General features: G+C 39.0%; 1 protein-coding gene and 1 long non-coding RNA gene across 5 annotated transcripts in view; one reads left to right on the plus strand and one right to left on the minus strand.

The window, feature by feature from the left end:
* The window catches only part of DAB1 (DAB adaptor protein 1), a 1,551,949-nt gene that overhangs the window by 971,842 nt on the left and 567,588 nt on the right, over positions 1 to 12,519 (minus strand). For 2 of the 4 annotated variants that reach the window (NM_001379462.1, NM_001353980.2), the window contains exon 2: positions 4,171 to 4,246. The exons of the other annotated variants lie outside the window; for them this stretch is intronic. The gene's annotated coding sequence lies outside the window, so the exon portion shown is untranslated. The remainder of the gene's footprint in view (positions 1 to 4,170; positions 4,247 to 12,519) is intronic. 4 annotated transcript variants of the gene reach the window in all.
* LOC105378746 (uncharacterized) overlaps positions 1 to 12,519 on the plus strand; it is a 33,633-nt gene that overhangs the window by 9,996 nt on the left and 11,118 nt on the right. The window lies entirely within an intron of this gene.

Raw genomic sequence — 12,519 nt, forward strand, 5'->3', positions numbered from 1 at the left:
TGTTTTGGGGTAATTCGTTACCTAGCAATATTTAACTGAACAGAGGCCTTAACTCGAATGCCAAGGAGATTTTTTTTGATAATCTAAAATTTAGGTTAAGTTTTTCGTGTATGTACACATTTCCAGTTTTTCTGGGCATCTGTGTTTCACTTTCATTCACTGTTTAGAAGAGTACATATACCAAGAAGGTTAAGAACCACTGTTTTAAGTCTAGGGAAAGAATGTTAAGAGCTTATTCATCTTGTGGTCATGATTTGCGTTTTCATATTGATTAGTGATGTTAAGTATCTTTGCATAGACCTGTTGAACATGGTACCTGTAGTTTACACTACTGGTTTTTAGTTTACACTTAAAATTTAAGAGGGTAGATCTCAGGTGTCCTTACTGCAATAAAATAAATTTTTTAAATGAATGAAGGTGCACGTGTGCACATACATGCATACACACACACACAAGAATGTCAAGAGCTTTTAAAGTTTCAGCTTCAGGGCAAGGCCTGTTGCATAGTGCAGAGATGCAGATTGTAGGTCACCTTTCCATGGGAGCCACAGCTACAGTGGGGCTGTCCAAGGTGCTGGCCAGACTGTCTTGCCTATTTCTCATTAATTAGCACTGTCCCTAGGTGGAGAGCACCTTAAAGCCTTTCCTTATGGGTAGTTACTTGGTTACACTGTTATGCCATGTTAAAATAGGTGTTGCTTTGTTAAACAACAAGGAAGCCAGATGACCCGTAATGCTCACCTGTTTGATCCTGAACTGTACTTGCTACCCACTATCAAGGCTGTGATGAACATCATCATAATACACAGGAGTACCTTAACCTAGGTATACCTGAATTGGATCCATACTCTGTGTCCTTATTATGGCTCAATAAGATGTGCTACCCTTGTTCCTACGAAGCTCTTGAAAGGCTTACTAGCACCCAAAGCCCTAGAGGGACAAGGTGTAGAGTTGGAAGATATCTGGTGTTGATTCAGACAGAGCAGTGTGGTTAAGCGTGCAGCTCTAGAATCTAACTGGGTTACCAGCTGCAGCACCTTGGGACATTTTGGAGATAATAATTGTAGCTACTTTACAGGGGGGTTGTGAGGACGAAACTAGTTAAAAACATAAATTGTACTTAAATAAATTAACATATTCAAAGTAGTTAGAAGAGGGCTCAACTCATAGTAAGTGTTCAATAAATGACAGGCATTTTGATGAAGGTGGTGAATGATTATTATAAGGACTGATGATAAAGATGTAATTTTGGATTTCAGCTCTGACACTTAGCTGTGGGATCTTAACTTCTCAAAATTTTTGCATTTTCGTATATAAAACAGGAACACATCCTTGTGATTATTAACTGAGGGAATGAAAAGGAAAACATAGCGCCGAACATGTAATAAATACACAATATAAATGATATTTTATTCTTATCTGCAGCTCCCTTCTTTCCTAGGACTCAGCAGATGCCGAAATATTGTCTGAAAGAGTGTGTGGATGTGTGTGTGTGTGAATCTTTAACAACAGAAAGTGTAAAAGTCACTTAATGAAATGATAGTGGGTTCATGGAAATGACTCTAGGGTCTCCTGTGTCCTGTTTGTCACAGAGAACTCCCTCTCATCCACTGCTTGTTGCTTTGCTGTTAAGAAGCTTTTGAGATAGATTAAAACAATAGCATCAACAGAGGTATAATTTTCTTCCATCCCTTTTTAATTAGCTGTGAACCGCAGGGCTAAGTGGCAACAGAATCAGAGAAGGCAGGAAGAGCAGAAAGCCACCATTTGAGTTCTTAGGATAAGAAGCATTTACTAAAAAACATTCTGAGAATTTGGATAAAAGATTCTGCAAGTTGTTCTCTCATCTTTTTAAAAAACAAACCTCTGTCTGTCAGCTCACTGCCAATTCCAGCCTGGAAAATTGGCATGCATGTTTCGAGGATAGGAAGCAGAAAGTATAAATTTAAGAATTGCGGTAGAACACAGATGCATGAGTCAGTAGATCTTCGAAATGCTACAGACCATTTTTTGTGCGTGTTCTTTAAGTCTCAATCTTTCTGACCCTTAAGTTTCTCATCTAAAAAAATGAGAGATGGGTTAGAACATAGCTACTATTTGCCAAATACCTATTACATGCAGAGCCTCACAACGATACTGTGAGGTATGTGTTTTATGTCCAAGTTTCAAAGCAGAAAACTGAGGCTTACAAAGCTGAATTTATTCAATGGCTCACAGCTTGAAAACTGTAGAACCTACCCAGCTATAACTCTAGTTCTTTCTGAATTCTTTCCCTGCATCGTAAGACTTCTCATCTTTAAAATCCCTTTCAACTTCATAAAGTTGCATAATTTGTATACTGTTCAATTTTTAGTTAATCAGAGGCAATGCACTAATATGTATAAGTTCTTAAACCTTTCAGTATCATTCTTGTTTATCTGGAATAATTTAAGAGAAAATTAAATAGTCTGGTTACGTGATCACCATAAGCATTATATGTATATAGATATTTTCACATAATTAGCAAAACTAATTTAAGAATTTATTCCGAATTTCTCATCCAGTGGGTAACAAATCCTGTAAGAACCATGAAATTTTTACAAAGAGTTCAAGAATATGAATGCCATCAAATATTGTCTGTAAACTAAAAAAAAGTCTTACCAATATATCACTTTACACTTTTCAAATGTACTTTTAGAGCTTCACAAATGTTAATATATGTATGTTTTTAAAATTTACTTTTATTTATATATATATTTTTTGAGATAGGATCTCACTCTGTCACCCAGGCTGGAGTGCAGTGGAGCCATCTTGGCTCACCGCAACCTCCACCTCCCAGGTTTAAGCAATTCTCGTGCCTCAGCCTCCCGAGTAGAATATATGTATGTTTTGATGTAATGTTTGTATTTACATAACATCCAAGTTCATTTAAAAATGACACTATACTATTCATTACAGCTTTTAGTTCTCATATCCAACAGATATCAAAGTATAAGTATCCTCATGCATCACAAAACTTATTGATGTTAAAAAGGAGTCCTCAGTGTAAGCTAAGTTAAAAACTGCTTCTTTACATATAAGATTGTAAGGTACTTGAAACTATGCTGTTTCATTTGATTCTTGCAATCAAATCAACAATCATCATATAGTACTTTTGAGACCAGGATTCTACCTAGTTATTAACTTTCTGCTTGTTAGGTTCTAGTTAAATGGGGATTTACACTCTTCTACTTTAGATCAGTTTTGTGCTTTAGATATTGCTACAGGCTGAATATTTGTGTCTCTCCAACATTCATTATTGACATCCTAATCCACAATGTAATGGTATTAAGAGGTGGGGCCTTTAGTAAGTGATTAGGTCTTAGAGGTAAAGCCTTTATAAATGGAATTCACGCCCTTAATGGGAATCTAATGAGATGAAAGAGACTCCAGAAAGCTCTCTCACCTCTTCTACCATGTGAGGACACAGAGAGAAGGCACCGTCTATGAAATAGAAAGAGTTCTCACCAGACATCAAATCAGATGGTGCCTTGATCTTGGACTTCCAGCCTCCATAACTATGAGAAATAATAGCTTATTGTCCATAAGCCATCGTGTCTATGGTAGTTTGTTACAGCAACCTGAATGGACCAACACAAAGACTATAGTCAATAAATCCTAAAAGGGCAAAGAAAAATGGATCTCACCTAGAGGTGAGAGAGCTTGGCTTCAGGAGCAGCCAAAAAACACATGGTAGAGAATACTACAGCCACCAACATTTTCCTCCTTCAAAGGGTCAGCTTTGCCAGTGGGGGTCACCCTGAATCGCTGCAGTGGGAATAGCAACATGGAGAAAATGCCAATTTTCCCAGGGCTCCTTGCTGGGATATTCTGAAGCCACAATCAAATCTTTAATTTAAAACATGAGAAAAGGATATCTACGGCGCTTGAGGAAAACTGCCATTGATGGGGACCCGCCACTTTTGGAGATAATTTCAGCTAAAATCAGCAGATTACCCAGAAGATACTATAGAAAGCTGGTGCTTAATCAACATGAATAAGAAATACTTTCCCTTTGAATCCAAAGCTCACAGTCACTCCCTTTCAAATTCAACCTCTAAGATCTAAACTGGTTGTAGTAAACAAAGCTCTTAATCCATAGGAACTTTGATATCTTAGATTTCTGGTGCAATGACCTTTATGGAAACTCACCATGCAATTTTCAAATTATCTGTGTCCCTGAGGTCTGTCACAGATATCCAGAGCCTTCCAAGAAACCCACAATTTCCTATGAGAGACAAAAAAAAACTTCATTGACTATGTAGATTGAAAATTAATTCCCCATAGGAAAAACAAATGTTATCTGAAAGCCCCCTGGACTTTACTACAGACCACAGAGCTACCATTTATTGTAGTGGTTTCAGGACATTTTTGCTTCTTTGAATCAGTTTGATCCTCATGACAGTGAATCAGGGAGGTGGGTGTTACATCATCAGCCCCATTTACAGATGAGAAACAAAACCAAGGAGGCATTCTGAGAGGTCAGTTTGTCTAGGCATAAGCAAGGCAAGACTTGGATCTTTTGGCTTCATGAGAAGTGTTTTTTCTACTCTTTGCTGTCTGCCTTCAACAATTGCTGAGTTTCCCTTGACTTGGACAAAATTTGTCTATTGTTCACAAACTCCCTTATTTGCTTTCCTGCACACTGCCTGTCTCTACTTATGAGTGTCTTGAGCTGAAATGGGCAGACTTCCTACCTTGCCTTTGCTGAAGGTCAGCTGCTTATTCCTATTTCATCAGACCTGATTTTCATGACTATCCTTTGACAGTAACAACTAGCTAGGTCTAGAGTTCTGAAAAATTATAAGGTACATGGTGTAGTGTGAGGGAAAGGGCCAGAAGGCCTAGATTCCAGCCTCAGCAATTCCACTTGCCAGCTTGGCAACATCAGGCCAGTTGTTAAACTCTTTGAGTCTCAGTTAACTCATCTGTAAGACAGGAATGATATTATCCCATCTCTATCACAGGAGTTTTGGGGAAAATGAAATGAGGTCAGAAATATCAAAGTATTTTACAAATTATACATAGCTGAATTCTGTCAAAGGCATATAGTTATTTTGTATCCGGGATCACAAATCAAATGTCTTCAAGATATTTGTAAAGAAGTGTAGCAATAAAGTTTAGTAAAATTGTGAATGGTGGGTCTGAAATCCACAGAAGAGGGCAGGTCCCACCAATGGCAATATCTTTCATTATGTACCAATAATAATCAGTTAGCCAAACCAGATATACCTGCTAGTCAAATTTGGTTTATGAGGCATCAGTTTGTGAACCCCATTTCCACTACAATATCTCCCAAATTGTGGGCTACAGATCCCCCAAGGGGTTTTAGACTTATTTCAAATTGTCATAAATCCATATGCACACAAAACATTTCCTATCGCCTGAAAAAGCAATGCTATGTACATCCAGATGATAGTATTTTAAAACTATAAGTAGATACCATTGTGATTAATAAAGTACATATTTATTCAAAAGCATAAGTTGATTCATTTTAACTTTTTGTTAATGTGTCATTCTCAATCAATAGGCACTAACCACATAAAACTTAGTCTCATGGTAGTTGGGAGAATAAACATCATTAAAATTTATTTTATTTTAATATTTTTATTTTTTAGAGACAGGGTTTCACTCTGATGTCCAGGCTGAAGTGTAGTTGTACAATCATAGCTCACTGCAGCGTTGAATTCCTTGGCTCAAGGGATCCTTCTGCCTCAGGCTCCCCAGTAACTAGGACTACAGGCATGAGCCACCATACCTGGTTAATGTTTTTAATTTTATTTTTTGTAGAGACAGAGTCTTGCTATGTTGCCCAGGCTGGTCTCGAACTCCTGGCCTCAAGTGGCCCTCCCACCTCAGCCTCCCCAAGTGCTGGGATTATTCCCATGAGTCGCCACACACCTGGCCAATTTTTTCACCTAAAAGGGGACTTCATAAGCTTAGATGTTGGGAAACAACTCTGAAATACTTTCAAAGGGTATAAGTAAGTATAACTAGTTATATCAGCCAACAGAAGGTCTTCTCTTGAGATGGCCTCAGGATCTGACACCAACTGGATTTGGAGAGAAAAACAAGAAAGAGCTATGTTTATGAACACTTTCTGAGCAGCCAAGTCACTGGGAGCATCTCTTGATATAAGGACATAGGAAAGGTGTTCTTTGTGTGGGCCACACAGGCCCTCACATTCACCTATAGCCTTAGTCAGCCATATGTACACATGTTCCTGAGCATGTACACACACACAAACTAAGCTAGATTCTGCATATTTCTTCATGCACATACACAAACTAAGCTATATTCTGTATATTTCTTTAAACAGTATACACTCCAATATGCACAAGTCCTGATCGCTGGAGCCTATTTATGTTGCCTTATTTAGAAAAAATCTGTCTTTATAGATGTGATTAAGTAAAGGATTCTGAGATGGGGGGACTAGTATGAGTTATCCATGCAGACCCTAAATGTAAAAACAGGTATCCTAATCAGAGAGAGTAATAGGGAAATTTGACACATAGATATTTACACAAAGAGGAGGTGATGTGAAGACAGGGCAGAAAGAGATTTTAAGACATTGGCCTTGAAGATTGAAATGATGTGGCCACAAGCTAAGGAATGCCTGCAGCCACCAGAAGCTCAAAGAGGCAAGGACTGCATTCTCCCCTAGAGCGTTCAGAGGCAATGCAGGCCTGCCAACACCTTGATTTAGGCCCAGTGAAATTGATTTGATACTTCTAGCCTCCAGAACAATGAGATAATAAATTTCTGTTGTTTTAAACCACCAGATTTGTGGCAATTTGTTACAGATGCTGCAGGAAGCTAATACAATAAATATACATCTTCTAAACACATACTCTATACATGTACATTACATAGACATGTCAAATGTACATCAATTTTAAGTACACAAAGCCCTTAAACACAACAGATACATCTCCCTGAAAATGATACTTCTTATACACATCCTAAAACCTGGCATCACCATCTACCCTGTGACTCAAAAACTAGGGTGTTACTCTTGTTTCCCCTTGAAACCTGAATAAAGAGTCCTTTAACAAGTTCTTCTGGGTCTACCTTCAAAACATCCCCAATCTATTCACTTCTTTCCACATTCACTACTAGCGTTCTTCTCCAAGTCGCCATCATTTCTTTCCCAGACTTTTATATTAGCCTCCAAGCAGTCTCTGTCACCATCACCATTCTTGCCTCCCTATAGTGACTTCTCCAGATAATACCCAGCATAGTCTTTCAAAATCCTTAATGGGATCATTTCACTCTCTTACCATAGACCCTCCCAAAATGGCTACTCAATTTTTCCAAATAAATCCAAACTCCTTACCATTTCATAAAACACCCAGTATGACCTGACCTTCTTCCCCCTCTCTGACTTTATTTCACCCCACCCCTGCCTCCTTGTCCTTGATCCAGGCACACTAGCCTTCTTTCTGCTCATGAAACACGCCAAGCTCATTTCTGTCTCAGGGCAATTATGTTTGCTGTCCTCACAACCTCATCCCCAGATTTTCATTTGACTGTCTCCTCATTTAGATTTCAGCTCAGATGTCATCTCCTCAGAGAGAGCTTCCCTGCCCATCCCCAACTTCACCCCAATAGCTCTCCATTTCATTACCCCATTTTATTTTCTTTGTTTAACAATGAGTGCCATTTTTAAGTCTTTGGGCATTTATTGAATTGTGTCTCATCTACCTCCCCTCACTCAAATAAAAGTGCCATGAAAGCAGTGACTATGTCTTGTTCACTGGTGTATCTCTGGAGTCTACAACAGCACCAGCATATGATGGACACAAATACTTACCAATTTAATGAATGGCTCTCAACTTTGGTTTAGAATGTTATATATATATAGATATATAGATAGATAGATATATAATACCAATTCCTAGGTGCCGTCTTAGACATCCTGAATTGGAAATTTTAGGCAGCAAGACTCCACAATTTATATATTGAAAAAGATCCCTAGGTGATTTGACAGGTAGCCAGAATTGAAAGCCACTGACTTAAACACCTAATCAATGTGCATATGCCTTACATACATACCCATGGCCCACATGCATATGTCTTGCACATATATCTTCCATACCAGATATCATCTATACATTTATGTGTCCACTGTTTTTACACATTTGTTATGTATACCACATACAAAAATACTCCATACATGATTATTATCCATAATATATAGATATATAGTAATCCATATATATAGTAATTCCTATTATAGCAAAACTGCCATTTCCTGAGTGTCTACTTTATGCCAGGTACTGCAACTGGTGTATAGCTTGGAGATACAAAGGCCTAGTCCCAGCTTTAAAAAAACTCACAGCCTACAATAACTGCTATGGACTGAATGTTTGTATTCCCCTCAAATTCATGTGTCGAAATCTTAACCCCCAATATGATGGCATTAAGAGGTGGGACCTTCGGGAGATTAAGTTGTGAAGTTGGAGCCCTCATGAATAGGATTAGTGCCTTTACCTTTAAAAGACACAAAGACATAATGAGAGGACAACCAACAGCAAAACCAGAAAGTGAGTCCTCACCAGACACTAGATGTGCCAGCACCTTGATCTGGACTTCCCAGCCTCCAGAACCATGAGAAACAAATGTCTGTTGTTTAACTCACCCATCTGTGATAATATATTACAGTAGCCTGAACTCACTAAGACAATCACTGAAGCAGACCACTGCAATCCAAGGTGTTGAGTGTTTAAAGAGGGCAATACTGAACCCTGTGGGCATACAGATAGGAAAGCAAAAGACTGTTAGACTGACAAATTCATATTCCAATTGAAGCAGGCAAAACATGACTTGTGTCCTGAAGGATAGAAGTTATTTAGGCTAGGAGGAGTAATAAAAAGGGAATGGTACTTGATGCAAGGGAAAAGAATGTGCAAGATATAGCAGCTAGGGTATATGGTTTGTATAGGGATATGCAAATTATTTAATTTACTTGTTTATTAAACAGAAGTTTGACTACTTATCATGTCTCAGGTACTATGCTAAATACAGCTGAGAACAAAGGCCCAGACTCATGACACCAGAATCTCTAAGGGTGGGATCCGATGAAATGTATTATAAAACTTTCTAGATGATTATGATGCACAGCAGGGTTGAAAACCACTGGTCTAGATGAATTCACTTTGCTGGCTTCCACAGAAAAGAAGTAAAGGGACTGACTGAATAAAAACCAAGCTGTCCAGTCCGTAACACTACAAATGTGCTTTTGACAAACTTAAGGACTTCAAAGACAATTGCCAATTCATCCTTACCTACTAAGGGCAGCCAGCAATACTTCCAAGAACTATAGTGCTGTCAACATCGGAGACTTCTTTGCTCCAGTTGGGTCACTGTTCACTGAATCCCTGACCTGGGCAAGTTGGTGCAAGGCACTTCTTGGCAACGCCAAGTCTTAGAGCACCAAGCCCCCCAAGATGGAGAGCCGTATAACCTTGGGACCAGGAGCTTCAGACTTCGTGGACTAGGTTGAAATTTTAAAGAACTGGGGGCTTCTCTGGTTTTTCATTTCCCTGGATTGCACTCTGAAAGTTGGGTCAGAACTAGCCCATCTCCCTTCCGGCTCTCAGGCTACCTCACATGATAGAAAGCAGTGCACCACTCAGCAGCCACCACCAAACCATCTCAGTAATAACAGGTTCACCTCCTCTGTCTCCTTCATTTGAGGGGAAATATTGCCTGAGGCACAAGCAAAGCTTCAAATTGATTTAATTTAAAATTTCAAACTGCTGTATGCAGCTTTGCTCGACTGCCATCTGCTTTTCCAGTATGCAATGACACCAAGCCTGTTTTTATTGTGTTTGCTCAACCAAGTCCACCAGTGAAATATTAATAATTTCCCCAGCGTCTGGTTGGTTTGCGTGCTTGGGATGATATCCAAACATTCATCAGGCTCATCAAAGTTATGAGCAAAATAATTTTTCTCCTTAAGCGGGAAGGAGAGGAGGGATCTGGATTTTTATTAGTGGTGCATATCACTATGTGACACTTTTAGCTTTCTCTGCACCGAAAAAGAAAGCAACTGCATTGCTTCTGGCCCCAACATTAGATATACTTTCTCTGTAGAGAGGTAGTTTTTCAGCCAAGCAAGGAAATAAGTAATCTGTGAAGATGTAAAATGGGTGCCATCCCTAATGCCTCTCTTTGCCTCACTCATCACATGCAATTTGACATTAAGTCTTGTTGAGTCTGTCATTATTCTTGGGTTCATTTCCTTCTCTCCATTACCACTGCCACTGTTTTAATCCAGATCCTTGCCAAGTAATCTGGATTACCACAATAAGATGCCTCTGGTCTCCTAACACTCATGAAATCAGTTTCCCTTTCCTCTCCCAATCACCAGAAATGGAGTTTGTAACTTTCAACATGATTTCATCAGTCATTTGCTCCAAACTCTTCCATGGCTCCCCACTGCCCTATCCTAAGGTCCACATTCTTTTGTACAGGTTACAATGCTTGTTTCTCCTTCCATTTCCACTCTACTATCCTATGCCTCAGCCAATCAGTATTCTCCTGGGGCAACAAACCCACTCCTGCCCACTGGTGTTTGTTCAAGAGAGATCTATAGAGAATTCCACACAATGATTAGCTAATAGCATAGTTCCAGAAAGGATGGCTGTCATTATTGTCACCCTTATTTTTTAAAAAACAGAGATATCCAGATCACCCTGATTAATCCCTGTCTTCATTAAAAGCATTCCTCTCCTCTTTAGAGGAAGAAAATAATAGACTGACTTCATTTGTTTCCTTCAATTTGGGGCCAGGAAAGAATGGGTCCTACCCGCAACATTGTAGATAAGAGGCCACATTGCAAAGTTGTTAAGAGCTCTGCAACAAGACATCCAGGTTAAAATGCCGACTCTGCCACTTACTAATCAATAGATTTGAACACTAAGAATAGAATTTGGCACATAGTGAACACTCAGTTAGCAATGGAGTAATAAGTCTAATATATACACATCTCTGAAAGCAGAACACAGATTTGTACATTCTCAAAGGGACCACAGGTTCTCACCATACAATGCCTTTGCTGACGACATCCCCCGGACCCACCACAAGAATTGCCTTCATCCATAATTATCCACCTGGAGAAAGGCTGTGTCTTCTTTAAGAACCAGATGAGATAAGTGAACTCCCATTCACAATTGCTACAAAGAGAATAAAATACCTAGGAAAACAACTTACAAGGAATATGAAGGACCTCTTCAAAGAGAACTACAAACCACTGCTCAACGAAATAAGAGAGGACACAAACAAATGGACAAACCTTCCATACTCATGGATAGGAAGAATGAATATCGTGAAAATGGCCATACTGCCCAAAGTAATTTATAGATTCAATGCCATCCCCAACAAGCTACCACTGATTTTCTTCACAGAATTGCAAAAAAATTACTTTAAAGTTCATATGGAACCGAAAAAGAGCCTGCATAGCCAAGAAAATCCTGGGCAGGAAGAACAAAGCTGGAGGCATTATGCTACCTGACTTCAAACTACACTACAAGGCTACAGTAACCAAAACAGCATGGTACTGGTACCAAAACAGACATATAGACCAGTGGAACAGAACAGAGGCCTCAGAAATAACACCACACATCTACAACAATCTGATCTTTGACAAACCTGAAACAAATAAGCAATGGGGAAAAGATGCCCTATTTAATAAATGGTGCTGGGAAAACTGGCTAGTCATGTGCAGAAAACTGAAACAGGACCCCTTCCTTACACCTTATATAAAAATCAACTCAAGATGGATCAAAGACTCAAACGTAAGACCCAGAACCATAAAAATCCTAGAAGAAAACCTGGGCAATACCATTGAGGACACAGGCACCGGAAAAGACTTCATGTCTAGAACACCAAAAGCAATGGCAACAAAAGCCAAAATTGACAAATGGGATCTAATTAAACTAAACGGCTTCTGCAAAGCAAAAGAAACTATCATCAGAGTCAACAGGCAACCTACAAAATGGGAGAAAAATTTTGCAATCTATCCATCTGACAAAGGGCTAATATCCAGAATCCACAAAGAACTTAAACAAATTTACAAGAAAAAAACAAACAACCCCATCAAAAAATGGGCAAAGGATATGAACAGACACTTCTCAAAAGAAGACATTTATGCAGCCAGCAGACATATGAAAAATGCTCATCATCACTGGTCATTATGGAAATGCAAATCAAAACCACAATGAGATACAATCTCATGCCTAGAATGGCGATCATTAAAACATCAGGAAACAACAGATGCTGGACAGGATGTGGAGAAATAGGGATGCTTGTACATTGCTGGTGGGAGTATAAATTAGTTCAACCATTGTGGAAGACAGTGTGGTGATGCCTCAAGGATCTAGAACTAGAAATACCATTTGACCCAGCAATCCCATTACTGGGTATATACTCAAAGAATTACAAATCATTCTACTGTAAAGACACATGCACACATATGTTTATTGCAGTACTATTTAC

This window comes from Homo sapiens, chromosome 1, assembly GCF_000001405.40.
Source record: "Homo sapiens chromosome 1, GRCh38.p14 Primary Assembly".
Lineage (NCBI taxonomy): Eukaryota > Metazoa > Chordata > Mammalia > Primates > Hominidae > Homo > Homo sapiens.